The 22089-nt window shown below is 36.4% G+C and overlaps 1 protein-coding gene across 1 annotated transcript in view; it reads right to left on the bottom strand.

Annotated features, from left to right (window-relative positions):
- ITGA4 (integrin subunit alpha 4) overlaps positions 1-22089 on the bottom strand; it is an 81736-nt gene that overhangs the window by 33262 nt on the left and 26385 nt on the right. The window contains exons 10-15 of the mRNA NM_000885.6: positions 19687-19798; positions 12260-12354; positions 10867-10957; positions 10263-10308; positions 9742-9896; positions 6902-7056 (exon numbers count right to left, since the gene is read on the bottom strand). Coding sequence (NP_000876.3) covers positions 6902-7056; positions 9742-9896; positions 10263-10308; positions 10867-10957; positions 12260-12354; positions 19687-19798 — 654 coding nt within the window. The remainder of the gene's footprint in view (positions 1-6901; positions 7057-9741; positions 9897-10262; positions 10309-10866; positions 10958-12259; positions 12355-19686; positions 19799-22089) is intronic.

Genomic DNA, 22089 nt, shown 5'->3' with positions numbered 1-22089 from the left:
AAACTGTATTTGACAGATATTCACACTTATTTAACTTTAACAGCTCCACCTAAGGACAAAAGCTGTAATATCAAAAATGTCTTGAAGTGATTAATTAAATATTTGGGAGTAAAAAAGTAGATTTGTTTACATTTTAAAATTTGGATGGGCATGTGCTATCTATATTAAAAATAATGAAGATTCCATGCCACATTTTTATGGACAATTACATAAAATAGGGTGCCCACAAGCGTGCAAATTAGCACATGCCTGAAATTACATAATGTCTGTCTTCTTGCTTGACTTTCATGGAAATCTGTATTTCTGGCCAACTTGAGAGCTGAGCAACAGGCCCATGTCCTCCTGTTAACTTGGTGGGGCAAAAAAATTTATAAGATATCACTAAATAAAAAATAATGTCAGGAATAAATATTTGAAGATATCTATTCATGGGCCTACTGTGTCCAAGGCAGCTCTAGGGTTACAAAACTGAAAGTCAGTACCTGTCACAATCTATGTTCCACAAATCCACATAGACAGTGTGGGGCATGAATATTCTGACAGAGGCATGTCTAAATACAGAAGAAGTAGGGCCACCTAATCTACACATAAAAGGGGCTGGGGAGGCTCTTACATAGGAAGATTTTAAGCAAGGAATATGACTAGATTTTGGAAACACCTCTCTGGTGCTAATGCAGGGCTCGGGAAGGAAAAGCTGAGACCAAGACACAGGTTGGTACCTGAACCATCACCATCTTATATAATTGCAGTCCCTTTATCTAGTAAGCTTGGCTCAAGTGGTACAGAACAGTCAGACATCTAGCATTACAATTTCCTGAGAAAAGACAGCACCCCTAAGACAAATGCCCTAACCATTATACCAATAGAACATTCTCAGATTTTTCTTATAGAATTTTTTAAATAGCACCAAGAACATAGCATCCATAAATTTGTTAAATATTTATTGTTTCTGCCTTATGTAATGGATTGTGCTAGCTCTAAGAATATAAATATGCAAAAGATAATATCCTGCCTCAAAGATCTTGCAATCTAATGAAGAATTCACATGTTATAATAATCAATTCACTTTTAGAATACCATAATATTAGTACAGTGATATAGTTTGCTCACACTTAGATTTTCCACAGAAATGTCTGCATATATGAATCAGTCCATAGTGTGCTATTGTTAAAAAATTTCTTCTTTGGAGTAAATGACATTTCATTAAACTATGTGCATGTATTGCTCAACAATATAAGCAAATGAAATAAAAAATTACAAAAAAATGTATTTACTAATCAAATACACGTTTTCCTGAAACTACTATGGAAAAAAGATGAGTTTTAGAAGTCACCTAAAGATTTACATAACAAAATAAACCCACATTTCATAAATCTAAAATTCAGAAATTTGAGAAATCAAAGAAAAGAATTAACTAATCTACCCAGGTAGATTGATGTCATGATTTTAATAAAACATGCGAAGGCCACTGAATTCACTGGCTCTCAGAATATCTCTGGGGACAGGCATTCTTTGTTCAGCAACTAAGCCAGTATTTCTAGCTTTGTTGGAAATGCAGACAAACAGGAAATCTCATTGCTTCTTTTGTTATCCCAATGTAGCACCCTTCTTCTCCTCTCAAATATCAGTGGATATTTTGATGCAGGGATCCATCAAGTTCAACCAAGAGATATCATCTGTCAAAATTTCAAGGGAAGTTTCACTACCATGGCTGCTCTAACATGTCTAAAAACTGCTTCAAGTTACAGTTTGGGTTTCCCTAAATCAAAACTGCTTCAAAATTATCCCTTGTCCTAAGAAATCTCCACAATTTGATGAAGTTGTATATTTAAATAAAGCAAAAACAAAGATTTTCATATACTTACATAAATGGGGAAACATCTTTTCATAGAGGAAAAAGCAATGTCTAATAGAAGACGATTTCAATAGATAAAACACTAAAAGATATAAATGAAATTAACCATTTCCTTTATATTACAGAAATATCATTCTAACTCATTAGCAAAATCTAATAATTGTATGGCTCTGGTGGCCAAAATTAAAGCTTGGCATAATTATAATCAACTAAAATACAAAGGATTTTTTAAAGCAAAAAAAAAAAAAAAAAAAAAAAGACAATTTCTTCCTTCTTTCTTATTTTATGAGGAACAAATTTTGACCAGTTAAGCAAAGTAATCCTGTGTGATACTCTTTTGATTATGATTAGACTTAAGAAAACTGATTCCCCTACTAACCGGATAAATGAAAACATAGCCTCAGAAAAATAACATGCCAGAACAAAAATCTACATGCCAGTGATATAGATCCTTATTAGACTATTAAAAATGCACCTCTAGTCCAAGAAGATCTAGCATAAAACTAAAGAATTGTGATTAAAAGAGAATAATTTTTTAAACTTAAGATCTGGAGTCTTTTTGACAGCCGAATTCCCCGCCATCAAAGAACACAATGGATTTTGTAAGTAAATTTAAAGGCTTTTGTTTGCATAAGGTAATCAAAGTATTGTCAGCAAAAATAAAAGCAAAATTCAATCTTTTCCTCACTTTTAGGTCTCCAAGGGCTTTTGTATTTTATAATATCTATGCCATCTTTGCAGCTCGATCCGTTTAATAGTCGATTCCAACAATTTGCTGATTGTCCTGGGATCTCCAATTCAAATTTCTTTCCTGGTCCCTCACCGTCTTGGTGTGCCCCCTCCCCTCCTTAGCCTGCTTCAACTTCACAACTAAAAATATAACCATTCCCTTGTACATTCCCTCCCGCTGCATGCTCCTTGCTTGCTTCACTCTCTTGACCAAACTACAACCCTGGTTAATTGTAACTCTTCATCTACTCCTGCAAGACTGAATGTGACTGGGAAAAAAAACACAAGCACACAGGCTACACTCAGTTTATGACAATAAGTGCAAGTGGTCCCAAACACCATCTGACAACCATCCTGTATTTTGTTACTCTCCCATTCTCCTAGAAGACTATTTCACATCTTCCCAAACTCCAAATGCCACTTCCTCCATCCCTACTCCAGTTGATGAGTTTGCTTCTTAGTTCACTGAGATTATTAAAGCAATCAGACAAGAACTTCTACAGTCCCCATCACCACATCTACCCAGCATCTGCAAGCACATACTCAGATGAATCATGCACATGCCTATCTAGAACCAACCCTTTCACTTGTACATTTAATCCTTCCCTTTTTGCCTTCAAGAATTTAGTTCCAGCTCTTCTCCCCTGTCACATATATCCCAAGTTTTTCACTCTATTGCAGCATGCCTATCAGCATAAAAACATGCTAATACTTCTCCTGTCTTAAAAGACAAAACCCCAAAAAACTCTTCACTCCAGTTCAGCTACTGACCCCCAGCTCCATTTCTTTGGTCACCTTTGTGGCAAAACTTTTTGAAAGAATAACCTATGACGCTTCCAATTCCTTTCCTTCCCCCCGTTCCCCCACTAATGTCTGAAATGCTGTTGTCACCACCACCAACAGCCTCTGCATTATAAATCCAATGTTGAGTTTTCAGCCCTCATCTTATTTGATCAAGCTGCAGTATAGAAAACATCATCATGCTTTCCCCTTTTTTCACTTCACTTCCAGGATGCCACACTGTTGATTTTCTTCCTTTCTTACTGATTGGACCTTCTTATCTCCTCTGTGGGCCTCTTTTTGCCAACCTCTTCATGTTGTAGCGGCCCAGAGTACAGACGGTGGCCCTCTTCTGATCTCAGCCATCTTAATACGGCTTTAAATACCATCCATATGCCAAAGATATATTAAGTTACCTTTCCTGTTCTCTGCCTGTCCTCAACTCAAGATGAGTATGTACAAAGCCTTAGTTGATATTTACATTTAAAATAGGTCTCTCTAGCTAAGCAGGCCCACGACTGAACTCTAGAATTTTCCACTCAAAAGGTGTTCTCCTGCAATATTGTCTCAATTGATGAAAACTACATTTCCAAGTGGCTCAGGCTAAAGACCCTGGAGTCATCACAGAGCCTCTTTCTCAGATGCCAGACATCCAGTCTCTCAGCAAATTGTAAATTGGATGTCAGCAAATTGACTTCAACTACTTCTTACCATATCCACTGCCACCACTTTTGTTGGAACCATCCTCTCACCTGTGTTGCCACAGTAGCCTCTTCTCCATGTGTCGAATCTTGATCTCCTACTCTATTCACAACACAGCAGCTAGAGTGTTCCTTTGTATACGTATGTTAGATCATGTGACTTCTCTGCCAAAATGCTGTTATAGATCCCCCTTTCTCTCAGAGAAAAAGCCACAGGTTCTATATAATCTCTTCTTCCACCATTCTTCCCTTTGCTTACATTTCTAGCCATCCTTGCCTCCCCATTGTTCTTTAAAATAACCAGGTACATTCTTGAGGCCTTTTGACTCAGCTTTTCTCGCTGGAATACTCTTCTCCTGAACCAGCTGTTCTCAAAGTATGGGTCCTCTGGGAACTTTGCAGAAATGCACATTCTCAGCCCTTACTGCAGACCTACTAAATCAGGGATTCTAGATGGGGGCCAGCAATTTGTGTTTTCAGAAGCCCTACAGGTGTTGTTGCTATTACACCCTAAAACTAAGAACAACTGCCCTAGATATCTACATGGGTAACTTCCTCACTTTCTTCACGTCTTTGCTCAGATGTCACTTTCTGAATGAAGCCTATTCTGAGTATCCTATTTAAAATTCTCCGCTTCACTCCTTCTGCAGCACTGCACATTTCTGTACTCTGCCCTCCTTTTTCCTTTATCACCTGTATCTTCCAAAATACTATAAAATGTATATTTTTATCATATTATTTTTTTCTCACCCCAGTAGACTATAAGCTCCATGAGGGTAGTGATGTTTTTATGTCTTATTCACTGGTATATACAGAATTTGACACAATGTGGGTACTCAATAAATACCTATCAAATTAATGGAGTGAATGGCCAGTAGGGACATCTACACAAGTAAACCATGTCCAACCAACAGACAGGCAGGGAGTCCTCTGACAAGTGGGGGTTGTGGGCCCCAGTACATAATTAACAAGTGCCACTTCATTTCATTGTAAGGAATGCAGAGATAAAATAGATACATATGTTAACATTCCCACTCCTGGTACCATGGTACCAGATGCGTTTTATGGAACACAGGAGCAACCCAGGCATCCCAACCGCTATGCGTCTTCTTTTCTAGGAAGATGGAAGAATTCAGGTTGCTGTCTTATGCTTTCAGACTGTAGAAACTTAAGAGTGTTAATGTTTCCTAATGCCTTGGGCTATTACCCTGGTGGAGGTGGGAAAGTACAATCATTACATTCCTATACCTTCTTAAGTAACAGCTACAGCTCCTTGACAGAACTCAAGTTCAGGGTAGCTGCAACTGTGGTTCTTATCTTCTGTGTGGGTTTGTTACAAAGGAGAGGGTTGGAGTAACTTTTTGCCTTTCTATATACGAGTTTTAAAAGTGTTCCAAACACAAGCAAGGTAACTTAGGAAGAGAAAAAGATACTGAAGGAAACGAGCATTTCTTAAAAAGTCCCTGCCATGTACAATCCCAGCAGTAAGTGCTATCATTTAATATTTGCAATATGGTACAAAGGCAATGGCTGAATCCTGCTACCATCAAAGCCATGGTAACACTACAAATATACATGCAACACAACACTTACCTCTGCTAATCATTTCTGCTACAAATTTACTCCGAAAAAGCTGTACAATTTTGATGATCCCTTATTTACAGGAACGATGCCAAGAAACACAGGACTAAATAAACCAGATCACTTTTACAAATTTAACACAATGTATTTCTTTGTGAACATCTAATGTTGGCCCTTTTATTGCCTTTAAAATGATTTCAATATTTGTCTCTACAATTGACTAAGGTAAGTAAAACGACATCTATGAAGCATGAAAAAAAGAACCTCTTTAATTCCTACCATATAAATGATGGTTACATTAATATTCTATACTTTTGGCTCTGAACCATCTAATAGGTTTATTCTAGTACAACAATAAAAACTGTTAAGGGAAATGAGGAAATAGCATGGGGATTATTGCTCTTAGCATTTAATAGCGTATTGGAGTCTTGATGCTTGCTTGCATTTGCTTGGAATAAGTATCTAAGGGAAAATTAAGCCCTAAGCTGAAGCTACTATTTGAAATCCCAGAAAGGGCTCCTGGGAATAGTTTGGTTTTTTGTGACAATAGATTTTCTGATGAAGTACACCGTTCCCTAATGAAAAAGACCTGGCACAGCTTCATATGATAAAATTTGACCAATGTGAGGAATGTGATGATCAGTTTGGGAATGAGTGTTTTAATAAAAGAAACATGAAATCGGCTGTGCTTTGGCAGGACATACCCCAAACCATCATGAGAGCTATCGTCCTGGCCCACAGATGATCCCCACCATGCTACAACTGTGTGAGTTCCCACTGACATCACTGGCAAAGCTGGCACGGAAACAAAGACATAACCCAAAAGCAGTCATGTTGGATTCTGCTTCGCTGGAGTCGTATGAAAAACAAACTAACTTCCCTGCCTCCCCTGACCCACCCCAAAAAACGTACCACGGAATAGATTTGAGGCTCAGTTGAGCTACTGAAGATGTATATTTCTAGGCAAGTAGATAAAGAGGGATAGGAGAAATGAAATTTTAGAAAGGAAAAGGCAAGTGTTTTCAAATGATGAGGTCAAATGTGATAAATGTGAAAAAGGATGATACAATAAGAGGACTCTGAATTACTTGGGTTGAGATTGTCTCATACCTTAACTGGAGCAACAGGTCATAGTTCAGGAGGGGTAACAGTTGCTTTTATCTACATTTTATAAAAAGATACCAATACAATAAGTTGCTCTCTATCAACAACGTTGAAGTTCACATATTCATTAATAAAAAATAGCTTACATTACCCGCATAAATGCTTGATGTGTTCTACAGTTAGCTTCTCTGCTGGACACCTGTATGCTTCCTGTAATCACGTCAGAAGTTCCATTAGAAGAGAAATAGAATCTTGGTGGAGACTCTGCCTTTCTGTTCACATCCAAACTCATGTTATAAAACAAAACTGCAAAAATATAGAGAATTGCAATTAATCTAATTACTGAAATACATCTATTGTTATTTTTGAAGTGATAATAGTTAAAGTTATATGGACTACTGGAAATAATATCTGGAATTCTCTTTATTAAACAGCTTTTTAAAGACTAACCTGAAATATGAAAGAGGGAACAATTAAAAATACAAATTTTAAAAATTGCTTTTATAAAGATTTATGAACTTTCCTCTAGGTTTCTATTAACAACATTAAAATCTTTAGTTATTTGCTTAATCTTTATATAAAAATTTCAAAAATATAAAAATTGTTGCTAATAAAAGTCTTGCATGTTTCATATTCCTTTTTTTCTCAGAACATTGACTAAGGAAGTATAGACACAGCACTTTGCTCAAATGTCACTTGGAATAATTCTATCTTATGTGGTTATATGACTAATTTTATATATGACTTTTTTATATTTTAGATTTGTTTCTGATTTGAAGGCTTTTTTTTATACATGAAGTGAACACATGATTAAGTCAAATCTATATATACGGTTTTCTTAAAAATGTCATCTTTCCAGTCTTATGCCCTGATTATCTGTCCTTCCTCTGTGTGTTATTGGTTTCTAGTTTGACCTTCCAGTGTTAATTTGTGCAATTTTTAAAAAATTCTCTCAATAAATATTCTAGCAGTTTGGCAGGGTTTATTTCAAATCTGAAATAGTAAATATTCATCTGCTCATGAAGATCTCCAAATTTGAAAGAAAAAAAAAAGGAAAAAAGAAAAAATTAACAAAAACGTCCAAGCCAGATCTTACCAAGAAAGTGAGAACCATTTCATGAATCTAAATGAGTTCTTTGCCATGCAAGCTAAATCTAATAGTCTGCTGAGGTGTCACTCACTACATAGAGGCAATAATTCATAAGTGATAGTTTAAAGAATTTATGTAATTCTTGACATGTTCATTTGTATTTTAGGAGTAACACTTCCAGAAGAATTTTACCTACTTTTTTCAAGGAAACATAAGCATAAAATCTATATTACTCTTTACACATTTCAAATAAATCCTTCAATCATCTTTTTAGTTGGAAAATAATGAAGTCCAAGCCAATTGGATTTCAAAATTATAATAACTGAGATTCAATACCTCAGAGAAATAGCACTGCAATTGATATAGCTGTCTACAAGTTCATTGCCCTGAGTTCAGAAAAAAAGTAAATGAAAAAGGTGAAAAAAAATCCACTATTAGTAAGAGTTAAAATGTCCTGGTTTTATTAAACATGCTTGCCATGTGAATTATTTCTCCTGGGAGTCATTTTATGATAATTATAAGGTATGCTTCTCCAATAATGTGATGATTATTTATGTGTTTCGTATGTTTGTCTTCAACTATTTTTAAAAATATCTGGTCACAATGGAATTGTTAGTAGAGGAAACACTAGTTTTATGTAAAAGGAAAGAGCGTCATCTACTCAATGTGTGTCTTTCAGATTATCCTTCAGCTTGTCTGTGTTACTGTGTAATTTACTCTGTGGTCAGGCTCTCAAATTGCCATTTTCCAATCAATAACTAGATGAAGGCTTGTCCACCCTCTTATTACTGTAGCTCTGGCCATGACTTTTCCAGGACACTATTAAAAATGAGTCTGATCTAAAGTAGAGATGCCAGGCTCATTGTGTACCTTTCAGGTACAGGCTCATTGTGTACCTAATGCATACTAAGACCTCTATTACATATCCATGGCATTATTTAATAAGTATGTGGGCCCTTCACGATGTTTAGATAACAGCAGCCTGCAGGGTCATGAATACAATAAACTCTTGACAGGTCCTAATAGGGGATCATAAACGTTGTGAATTATTAATCTCTAAATGATATGCCCAGATATGCTCTTCTCCTACCACAGGCTCATTTCACTAGTAGTTATTCTTATATTAGCCTAAATAAAACATAATTAGGAACATTAATCTGCTAGCAAAAATACTTATAAAGTCATATATACATGATTTGGGATTCCCCACCACAATATTTTGGATGAGCTATATCAATGATACTTTCTCCAGAGCAGATAATTGAGAGTTGCCTATACAGAGGGACATAGGTGACGGTTCTTAGGAGCTTGTAGTCGCAGTAAATTATTAACAAGCATATTATTTATAGAAATCAGAATCAAGTCTAGCTTCTTCAATTTTTTTAATATTTATTTTTATGGTTATTATTTTTTTGAGACAGGGTCTCATTCCATTGCCCGGGCTGGAATGCAGTGGTGTGATGACAGCTTGCTGTAGCCTGGACCTCCTGGGCTGAAGCCTCAGCCTCCTCAAGTGCTGGGATTATAGACATGAGCTACCATGCCTGGCTTTCCTCAATTATTGACACTTGATAAAATGTCAATTTTATCCAATGTCAAGAAGAAAGAGATTTCACAGGTTAAGCTCAGTTGGTTTACCTTAAACTAATATAGCAAGTGATACTATGTCCTTTGCTTCTCATAATCTCTAAACAACTACAGCCTTCTAATGTGCCCAACTCATTGGTTAGAACAACGCAAGAATCTGGAAGATGGAGAGGAAAAGCATGCATCAGGTAGCTTCTCTCCCCCGCTCTAAAGAAGATCTCCGTGGTGAAAACCGGTGAGGGCTCCAAGCAGGATTGTGGGATTAATGAATGAACCGCACCCCATCAAGCATTAATATTGTAGGGCATACCCACCAATGTAACCTGGAACTTCCTTGCCCTTATATGAGAAACAAAGTGTTAGATCTATGCACACAGAAGGCCATCCATTTTCAACACAGTCAAATTTCGTTCTATTTACTGACTCAGGGTGGCTTAAAGAAGCGTCAACAATTACTACAGGTCTTGTCCTGAGAAGGAAATAAAAGTAGCAATGTTAATTGCAGAATTATTTTTCCTTAAGGAGAGAAATGCGTTTGTTTTTTCAGTTTACATTCACCAAGTAATTTCATGAGTCTTATTATGTGTGTACATACTAATTACATTTCTGTGCACAGGGCAAAATAACTTTTTATTTAAATGTCTAAAAATATTGACTTTGATGATTTAATTATATCTCTGTAAGGTGAAAAAAATACCCTAAAAATCAATAATTAAGCTTCAGAATACCAAAAGAGCATCATGAGGTCACTACCACTGCTGATTTTAAACACCACCTCCCATCATTTTACAATTAAACCAAATTGCAATTAAGCAGTGAAATATATCAGTCTTACCTTAGCAAGACAGCAGAATCAGACCGAAAAGCACCAACTGCTACATCTGGAGGATAAAAAACAACACAGATTAATGATCATCATTAGTCAAAGAGAATTATTTTTCAGCCATAAATACTTAACTACGTATCACCTTTGACTACCTAAAACACTATTTATAGAAAATTAGAGAATATATGCTAACATCTTACGATTCTTTCCACTTTTCTCTGAATCTATTCATGTACAACATTCATCCCATTATGATATATCATAAACTTTATGACAAAAACAAGTTTACTAAAACAAAATTCAATTTTTGGACTAGAAACATTCACTCAAATTTTTCTAAATAAAAATTTTCTTTCTTTTCCTCATATATTTGATTTTCATGAGTGCTTTCATGTTTTCAAAAACACAGACTATAACATTGTGTAACTAGCACTGTTAAGCTGAGGAATTACTTGATCATTTTAGGAATGAATTAAGGAGAACTTTAAAAATGAAGAAAAAAAATTATCAGTAAGATGAAGTCTTTCATACCAGTTTTACGTACTTCACTATAAAGCAGTATCTATGATAGAGCTTATTCCAATTTATAAATTATGATAAACTAATTACTCACCTACATAGCCATTATTATCTGCATCAATTTGTCCTGATATAGACTGTCCAAACATACTTAACGATTTGCTGATCTGAAGTCCTTCAATTCTCTGAAAAATAGGAAAGTTGAGTGGGAAGTAGTTTTTGAATACTAATATACCAGAGAAGCAATGATTTAGCTAAATAATGAGCTTTCCCAGGCATGCCTTGGCACATCTACTAACAAAGCTGCATTTTAGTTAAATCAAATACTTCTAAGGGTGACAAAATTTTTCCAGCTTGAAATGAACAGGTGACATTTGTGACTAAAAAAATTTACTTTGCGAGCAAAGGGAAAATTATGCTGTACAGATTTTCTGAAATAGTCTTTACTCCCTCTCAAGTCTTTTAGAGGTGGGGGTCTCACTATGGCACCTGGGCTGGCCTTGAACTCCTGGGTTCAAGCAGTCTTCCCAGCTCAGCCTCCTGAGTAGCTGAGATTACAGGTGTGTACCACCATGTCTGGCCTCCTTAGGTCTCTTCAGGCTCTCTATTTACTTCCTTGCCCAACATGAATAACTAAATAAGAATTTGTAAAACAAGATGTCTATAATCACTTAGTGGAGCCTATGACTGAGGCTTTTGATAAAAGCTGACTTTTTAACAAGAACAACCCTAGCCAGATATGTACTTTCTATTCCACATATCTAATTTCATGTTCACATACAGGTTTATAAATATTAAGCTGATATTCGTGCTAAGAAAATTAGTTTTTTTACTAGACAAATACATTTCTTTTATGTCAATTACAGAGAACCATTTGCTCATTTTTCTAATCAAAAATAACTGTGCCAGCTAATATTTCCATGCAAATATCAAGGGAAAAACTTTTCTTCTCTGCATATGAATGTCATTTTTTTTCTAGGCACTGAAATGCCATGATTTTTCAACATACAAAAGTGAAGTCAGAGTAAGATCCTGAGACATTATTAAAGTGCTATCATCTTACTACTCAACAGTGAAAAAAACCCAGAGAATCATATGTGTGTTTGATCTCCCTGTGCAATCTTCACAAAATATGGGGCTCTAGCCACAAGGCCAAGACACAGTTAATCAAATCCAAATGGGCATATTTTAGAATCATATGGATATTACCTCAGAATGCAATTTAATGAAATACAAAGAGAAATCTTTAATGGGCTATAGACAAGCTAGGGTGGAAATGAACTACAACTCTTATTTATGGAGAAAGGGAGTTTGAAGAGTTATTAATCCCTTAAAATAAGATCATTTGCCACTATAAGTAAACGGTGAAATAAAGTGTTAAGTATTTGAATGAGAAAATTAAGAAAAATAAGTCCACATAAACCCTGGAAGTTTTAAGGATATGCATTATAACCAATGCTTCTTTTGGAAATAGAATAGTACCTTACCTGTGAGAAGGTTGACGAGATCCCATCTGCACGGCCATTGTAAATATAAATAGCACCTTGCAAGTCATCTTCTTGTGGAGCTCCGATAGCAACATCTATCCAATAATTTAAACAATGGAAAAATAAATTCTTGATACAAAGAATGCAACTTCGAAAACTAACCTTATGAACCTTAATTCATATCACATAAGAAAACTCTCTTTTATGAAAAATAACAGTCTTCTCAGACAGAAAAAAATAAAATACTATCATCATCATATACAGGATTGCACACAATAGTTTGCACATGGAAGAAAGCAGAGTGGAAGCATCTGAGAGGCAGTGTAACAAAATGATTAGAGCGCGGGCTCTACAGCCAGACCACTGGGGTCTGATCCGAGCTCTGCCACTGGGCACTGCCACACTAGGTTGGGCCCATTTCTTAATCTGTGTTTCAATTCCCTCACCTATATAATGGGATCATAATAAAAACCACTCTCAGCATAAAAGGATATGACCTATGTAAAGTGCTTAGAGCAGTGCCTCGCATGTAATAACCTCATAATCTATGAATATTTGATCATAAGAATTTTTATTTTGGGAGTCTAGACTTACCTTATTTGCAAAATGACTTTTAATTCCTATTCCAATGAAAATGATTAAGGTATCTGTTAGAGATATCTGCACACACAGACACACAGGATTTCAGAAAAAGGATTTGTTCTGTAAAATAATGATTTTATCACCTTTCTGTATTATTGATAATTATGTCAGACTATGATACCAAGGGAAAAAAGATCTGATCAACTAATATAAGAAAACCTGAGTAAATGACATGGTTGCTTAAATGCTATAAATATATAGCACAAAGGAGAAAAATAATATTCTACAGTTGCAAGAGCATTTCATTATTTTACCAAGTATTGTCTATTTATGCATATATTTACTTATATGCAATGGTTTATTTAATAGAAACCTAAAGTAGTTTGTCTTCATGATATTACTTATTACCATCAAATTGAAAATCATTTTATCAACTATAGTGGTAATTTTGGGCTACTATTTCAATGAGGATAAAAATATCTTTGATATATAACTCCATGCTAAACAATGTAAAATTTTAAAAATGCAAAAGCTTTTCTATTTTCAGTTAAAAAGAAATGGTAGACACCTATATTTACTTTGTTTAGACATACAAAGGCTAGCCTCTTTTGACTTGTACAAAGTTTTTCAAACTTTCATATACAAATATGCCCACTCATTTATTCATTCATCGGACAGCTAGTGAGCACCTACTATATTCCAGGCAATTGCCAGGAGCTGGCAAAACAGGGCAGTATCACAATAGGAAACTCATTGTCTAGTGGGGAGGAATGGCAAGTAAGAATAGACTAATAACACAGCATATGAGGAGGAAGTGGTGGAAATTAGAAAAGGCTTCTCATAGAAAATGATGCCCAAGATGAGATTAAAGTATCCATAGGTCATAGACAGGTGAAGAAAAGGGGAAATGCAATTTAGAGGCAGGGAAATGCCTGTGCAAGGGCAGGGAAGCAATAGGCAGCATGGCACATGTGAAGAATGGCAATTGGTTTGGAATAACTGGAGTCAGATTTGTGCAGAATATATACATACAGGAACAGAGGAGCAGGAATGGTAAGGAAGAGAAAGAGGAGGAGGAGGAGAAGAGGGATGTGAGAAGAAGGAGTGGGGAAAAGTATTTTATAGCCATTGAAGGGAAGACAGCAATTTATTTTAATCAGGGCTGGGTTTATACTTCCACCACTGTGGTTACATCTCTAGAATTTCCTATATATTGATTCTTCATAACACATGAAAAAAATAACAAGCCTTGGTAGTGAAGTGGTTGATGTAATTCTTTTTTTTTTTTTTTTTTTTTTTTTTGAGACGGAGTTTAGCTCTGTCGCCCAGGCTGGAGTGCAGTGGCGCGATCTCGACTCACTGCAAGCTCCGCCTCCCGGGTTCACGCCATTCTCCTGCCTCAGCCTCCCTTGTAGCTGGGACTACAGGCGCGCGCCACCATGCCCGGCTAATTTTTGTATTTTTAGTAGAGACGGGGTTTCACCGTGTTAGCCAGGATGGTCTCGATCTCCTGACCTCGTGATCCGCCCGTCTCGGCCTCCCAAAGTGCTGGGATTACAGGCGTGAGCCACCGCGCCCGGCGATGTAATTCTTACAGTACCTGTTATTAGCAAGAGTGATCTAGATTAAGGCAAATATTTAGGAAAAATACAGATGAGCCTTTTCAGCCAAAATATTAAAAAGGCCCAGATAAATTTTTTTCCATACAGAGGACACTTGGGTATATTCAATCTCTGGCTATCACATATATAGATTCAGACTCTTCCTGGATTACGCTTGGATCTGTTATATAATAAAGTTCTAGCTATCATTATTCAAATGAGAAAGATATGTTTTGAAATATATACAATAAATGTTTTCCAAGCCTATGCAACTTAATTTGGGACACAATATACAGAACATAGGTATTTAATGATTGCTTTTACTTCTTATCTGAACATTTTATTTCATTCTTTTAGTATAAATCAAAATTATTAGTATGTCAGCCAACACTTATACTATGTTTACAATGTAGGCACTGTGATATGGACTTTGTGCAGATTTACCCAAGTAACTCTCACAACCACCATATTAAATAAATACTCTGACTCCAACTTTACAGATGAGGAAACTGAGGCACAAGGTATAACCTGCTCAAGGTGACAGAGCCAGGATGTTGTGGACCTGGGATTTAAACCCTGCAGCCTGGTCCAGATCCTGTGCTATTCCCATGCTCTATAGACTCATTAACAACAGAGGTCATACCCCCAAATTTCCCTTCCTAATACCAATTCCTGTTCTGTGTCAAAGAGGTTCTCTCTCACACACACAGACACACACACACACACACACACACACACACACACACACACACGAATACTATTCAGCCATAAAAAAAAAAAATGAAATCATGTATTCTGCAGCAACAGGGATGGAACTGGTGGGGGATGTCATTATCTTAAATGAAACAAGCCAGGCACAGAAAGTAAAATAACACATGCTCTTACTCATAAATCAGTGCTTTAAAAATGTGTTCACATGGATGTATAAAGTAGAATTAAAGGAGGAGACCACCCCTCATATTGACTTATGCCCAATTTCTGCCTCCAAAGAAAGAAAAAGTAAAAACTAAAAGGCAGAAATGAAATCCACAAGCAGACAGCCTGGCCCCACATCCTGGGCCTGGTAGTTATAGATCGACCCCGACCTAATTGGTTATGTTATCTATAGATTACAGACATTGTATAGAAAAGCACTGTGAAAATCCCTATCCTGTTTTGTTCCGATCTAATTACCGGTGCATGCAGCCCCCAGTCACGTACCCCCTGCTTGCTCAATCAATCACGACCCTCTCACGTGCACCCCCTTAGAGTTGTGAGCCCTTAAAAGGGACAGAATTGCTCACTTGGGGAGCTCGGCTCTTGAGACAGGAGTCTTGCCGATGCCCCCCACCAAATAAACCCCTTCCTTCTTTAACTCGGCGTCCGAAGAGTTTTGTCTGTGGCTCGTCCTGCTACATTTTGATAGACAATGAAGACTCAGAAGGGAAAGAGGTTGTGTGGGGTGGATGATGAGAAATTACTTAATGGGTAAAAATGTATGTTATTTGGATGATGGATACCCACAAGCTCTGACTTGATCGCTATGTAATCGATGCATGTAACAAAATTTCACTTGTACCCTATAAACAAATAAAACAGAAGTGCTCACTTAATGATTTGACGATATATTAATATTTCAGGTGCACACAAAATAATAGTACAGCTTGTAATTTACAATTGTAGAACTTGTTATGGTTCTGCTCTAAAAATATTCAGACATATAGTCTAAAAGTCAGATAATAAGGCTCAAGGTGAAAAAAGAAACTAAACCGATAAATAGTGGTCAAGTCTATTTTACATATGAAATAAAAAATGTGATCTGCTGTTGGTCATGTCAGGTACATTAGTCTGTCTGACCGATTTTTTCATGCTTTTGATGAGTTTTACACTAAATTTTTGCCAAATCAATTGGTCATCTTTTTAGAAAATGGCTTGTGTTGCTTTTCTAAGGACACAGGAAATAGAGTCTGATTTTTTTTCCATTTGAGAACAATTGAAAAGTGATATGACAAATGCCAAGATAACTTAGGTTTGCTATGCAAAGTACCACAAAAATTTGCATAATAAAAAGACATTAAGTGTGATTTGCATCCAATGTTGGAGTCTCTTTCTTCATAATCCTACACTTCTTGCCATGAACACAAAGTATCTTTACCCATCCACCCCAGAAAAATAAAATAAGAGAAGATGGGGCAAAGTAATAAAGAAACACATAAAGAAAAATAACTTGTAAATTCCTGCTGCCTCATGCAGGCAGACATGGTGGAATGGAATAAAAGACCTCAGCCAAGAACTAGGACACACTGGCCCTGTTTCCACATCAGCAATGGTCTTGCTAATATCTAAAATATAGAAAACGCCTACTCATGGGCAAAATAGAAGATAAAATTAGAACTGGAGGGCTGGGTGCAGTGGCTCATGCCTGTAATCCCAGCATTTTTGGAGGCCAAGGCGGGCAGATCACAAGGTCAGGAGATAGAGACCATCCTGGTTAACACAGTGAAACCCTGTCTCTACTAAAAACACAAAAAAATTAGCTGGGGTGGTGGCGGGTGCCTGTAGTCCCAGCTACTCGGGAGGCTGAGGCAGGAGAATGGCATGAACCCGGGAGTCAGAGCTTGCAGTGAGCCCAGATCATGCCACTGCACTCTGGCCTGGGTGACACAGCGAGACTCCATCTCAAAAAAAAAATAAAATAAAAAAAGAACTGGACCAAGTAGAAAAAGATATATGGCATTATAAACACTCACTGAAGTGTTAATGTAGCCACTAAATGTAAATATGCGGTGAATTATAAATGACATTATAAATAGCACAAAAATATGCAGGAATATTTTAAAAAATCATTTGCATAATAACCTTCCAGACATAAAGGTATTACCTTTAGGAGTGGAGTGCTGAGGGATTTCAGTGAAACAAGAGCTGTGTGAAGCCCAGGGTCTCATATACAAATTGAGAGACTGCACTGTCCCCTGAAAGTCACCTCCGAAGTCCTCTTCCTAAGTCTCATCGACCGAACACTCTCTGTCCTTCACACCACTGGAAAATTACTTGGGCTTTTCCCAGGTATAGAGTAATTTTGATAAGGGAATTTGCCTATGCTCACAACAGTTTTACAGCTCTAACAATAATTCAAATTTGTCATTGACATTTTGATGCCACAAAAATAATTTCTCATGTGTACATACATATACTTTTCACATTCAAAAGAGTAAAAATAGTGAATGGTCTTCTTTAAATGTGTCAATTAAAACAAGACAGAGAAATCATAGACAAAATAAGTGTTTTACTAAACAGTGATTTTGTGTTTTTAAAAGAAAGAATTGGGTTGTCTCATACAACACACATGACAAATCAAAATGCATAAACATGGTTTTATCCATAGGTCTTTATTAGGTAGAACCCTTAAACTTGCCACGAAATAAGGCTTATGTTTTCAAGTATTAATTTTATTTTCTACTTGATGGTAGAGCTATAAAAAAGGGTGCCACTATTTTCTTCATTTTCATTTATTATGGCACATATTCTGTACCTGGTATGGTACATCTGACCCAAAATAAATGTTCAATAAATATCACAGAATTGCTGGTTACTTATGAGATGTAACATCAAGCATAATAACATTTTATTTTTTGTTTTTAATCAAACCAGGCTTGTAATAGATAAATAACAATTTCTTATTGCTATACATTAAAACTGCACACTTCTGAATGGAGAGATCAGTTATCAGTGAATTGCTTTTCTATGACACTGGATGGCTGCATAGGAGCAGCGCTGACCTGAATTTATACAAACTCTCAGGAGATGTGAACTCAATGTGACGAGTGACGGCAGCAGTGGTCAATACAGGAATGCAAACCAGGTGTCCCGTCCCCTTTCTAGGAAGGGCATAAAATATGACATGATCCCTCTTACAGCTCCAATTTAAACAAAACAGCCACAACACCTTCCCTCACCCCTGTCTGGGATGAGGTTATTTATGAAAATGAGCCAATGCCCAACCTGGGGTCCTGGGAGGGTAAGGGAAGTAGGGGGAAGCTAGTGATGGGTGGGGTACAGAGAGGCTCCCATTCATACATGTTTTTTAAAAAAATTATGTGTAATCGTAATAACCAAAAGTATATACACCTATTTTTTTCTTTCAGTTTTAAAATAGTAAACAAAAAATCCAGAACAGTAATACTTGTATAACAAGTTACACTATTTTACGTTTAAGAAGGTTCACTGGAAGCATGTATTCAATAACTGACTTTTTATGTAGAATAATGCATTTTATATATTTAAAGTAGATTGTGGTATCTAGGTACAAGAAGACATTAAGGAGATGAGAATTTATAGTACCCCAGCACTTTAATCTCTGAGAAAGCTTTAGCCTAAAACTACCGTATACTAATTGCCAATGGCCTTATCAAGAAGACAATTATGAACCCTAAAAATAAGTATCAAATACTTATGTGCTGAACTCCATGAAACTGCACACTCTCCTCTTAAACCTATTCACCATTTTATGCACAGTTTTAACAGACTCAGTTACTTACCACTTAGAACTAGATTGATAAAAGCAAATTTTTAACAGTAAATGCTAGTAGATGCAGGGATTTCAACAACAGGACTGACATCCATGGCAATATGCACAGTTACCACACTACCATCTATTCAATTAATAAAAAACGTCAATATCAGTGGGTAAACAGCCACTGTCCCCAGGCCTCCCAGTGGCCTGCTCAGAATCTCTTCTTGAATTCCCCAGATCCTCCACAACATAGCTATAGGGAATGCCTGGCAGAGCAGGGGCTTCCAGAACCCTGCTCCAGCTCTGCAGCCAGCCTCTGTTGGGTTTGGTCAGTGTCTTTATTGTACTGATAGTTAAATACCGTGGTCCAATGAGTCTATGATAACACATTTCCTGCCCATATTTTATTATTTCTGAAATCAGGATCTTCCTTAACAGAAAAATGGTGGGTGTAACAGCTTAATAGGTAGCTTTTAGGGACACATAAATAATAATGCAGTTTCTAATCAATGGTGCCTTAGAATCACTGAAATAAGGTATTTTGAATATCATCCATTATTAACAGTGGTAAAGATCAATGGGTGACAATTGAGGAGAAGTCATATATAACACTAAAGAAAAGAAAAAACTTAGCATGCCATTCTGGCTCCATCTTCTATAGGAAGGAAAACAATACAAAACTTTAATCATATTTTCTTCCATAAACCATTTTAAAAGCAGAAATCAAGTACCAATTTGATAATTTTAATTACCTTCAAAGCCATCATTGTCAATGTCGCCAAGATTAACTATAGATTCCCCAAATCTTGCAGCATATTTGTCACTTCCAACGAGGTTTGTTTCCATTGCATTCATTACTGCTCCCTAGATAGAAAGGGAGAGAAAACGTGTCATTATAACACTCCCTGACAACTTTACACGATTTACTGTTGTAATTGGATATGGATTTTTTCTAATGTGTCAAACAAGTTGGACAAACTACAGACTGAGCTTTAGTACACACATCTCAGTTCAATTCAATAAATATTTATTGAGTCTGTCAACACATAATAGTATGATTAGACCTCAGAGGACATAAAAAATTGTCAAACTCATGATCTCTAGCTTTGAAAATCCAATAAATCATTTTGATAATTCAATTTAGCAAATATTTATTGAGCCTCTACTAAAGACAACACACTGTGCAAAGAGCGAAAAGGTGAAAAGGGGCAAGGCAGTGTGTGCACAAAACACATTCCCTTTCTTCAATAAGCCCACAGTTATAGGGAAGGCTTAGCACAAGCATATAAATGACTGAGAAGTAGAAACTGCTTTACAATATCGAGACGCAAAAAAAAAAAATCTAATTATAACAGAAGACATTTCATAAAGGAAATGGCATGCCAGGAGGCTATTGAAGGATAAGCATAATTTTGATATACAGAGAAAACTAGCAGCAAAACAAATTCCAAAGAATTTGGCTCTAATGAATGGTATGTATAATGAATGAGACAAAAATGTCAGATTGCAGTCTTATAGTGTAGCGTCTTGATTGTCGAGGAAAATTTACTCTTAATTTAGGGAATAATACTAAACACTGAAGGTTTCTGAGTTGAGGAGTGACATGATTGAAGCTGGCCTTTGGAACCAGCAGCAGTGGAGCATAGATTAGTCAACTGATAACTAGGAAGGAGGAAGATGAGTTACTACAATAAGACATTCAATAATGTAATAATGGGCTGTTGCAATAACAGCTACCAGTTCTCTTCTGAAACTTTGATCATGTCAGTCTTTTGTATTAAAAAGAAAAAAAGGCCATGTCCTTTATTCTTCTCAAATTTACTTGGCACCTCTTAAGCATACACATGCTCTTTGTCAAGTGTCTTCACTTGTGAATTTTCCAATAGAAAAATTCTGATTTTTGTCTTTCTCAAACACTACTTCCTCTGTAAAAGCTTCTTGACCCAAAGGGAATCACTTCTTCCACTTTGTATGTACTTATAATGTGCCATGTACCATGTTGTAGTCAATTGTTTACTCCCATTGGTGTCTTCACAAAGATCCTGAAGTCCTGGGGTCAGCTCTAAGATTATTAGCTCTTTTTATAGTCCTGGTTACATTTCAGATACTCACTAAATGTCATTTATTTTATTTTAAATGAACTAAGATGACTGGGAATCATCTTTATAAATATAATCACTGACACTGAAGCAGTGAATGATTGATTCAAAGGAGTCAGGGATAAAACAGCTTGGCTCCTGGGCAAATGTCCAAATTAAGGAGTGGAAGGGTGAAAAGGCTCCAGGGAGAACAGACAAGGTATAGACTTAAGACAATGCAATGGCTCTGAAGTTCTGGAAGGAGAGTTTCAATAGGAAGAGGTGATCACTCTTCTTCAAGTATTCCCTAGTCACAGAGAGTGGTGACTGAGAGTTCGCTAGGAACCCCTGAGAGCTATTTTAGTACAAGTAGGCAGAAGCCAGTCACTCAAGTATCATTCTTTCTTGAGTTCATTCAAAAACAATTTCACCTACTTGTCTAGGACTCTTCCAAGCCCTGATGAAACCACGGTAAACAAGACAGACAATCTCTCTCCACAAGGCATCTATACTACAGTAGAAGAACACACAATACCAAATCAAATCAATGTAAATAAATGCCACTTAGTGGTTAGTGCCATTTCAGAGTTGAGAAATGAGAGGTTAGATGGAACAAAGGAAGACTAATCTACATCAGAGGATTTAAAAGCTGGAATCAATTATTAATTTAATCCAAGTGTTTCATAAGAGTAGTGCCTCAGGGTAGGCATGAGGGAAGAAAAGGAGGGTAGCCAAGTGGGTAGAAGGGTTTATCTGTTTTTTCTTAATGAGATTAAGATTTCAATGGGGGAAAATGATTCTATATTGCTTTACTTTAGGTATACATGTGGATGTTTAGTCGTAAAGAGGAAAATAAGAGAAATTTGCAGCACGAGGATGTAGCAAGTACAAAGACCACTATTTTTGGAGATAGAAATGGAAGAAAATTATCTGATATTACTACTATGAGATTTAATGATCACTGTGTAGATAATTTGCTTTTACTATTAAATGTAGGTTAAATACAGTGTAGGAAATACCAAAGCATAAATAACTTCCCTGCTCTATATTGCAAACTTAGAGAATCTTCCATTTATG

This window comes from Homo sapiens, chromosome 2, assembly GCF_000001405.40.
Source record: "Homo sapiens chromosome 2, GRCh38.p14 Primary Assembly".
Taxonomy (NCBI): domain Eukaryota; kingdom Metazoa; phylum Chordata; class Mammalia; order Primates; family Hominidae; genus Homo; species Homo sapiens.
The sequence above is the reverse complement of the archived record's forward strand: the minus strand, read 5'-3'. Positions and strand labels throughout refer to the sequence as shown.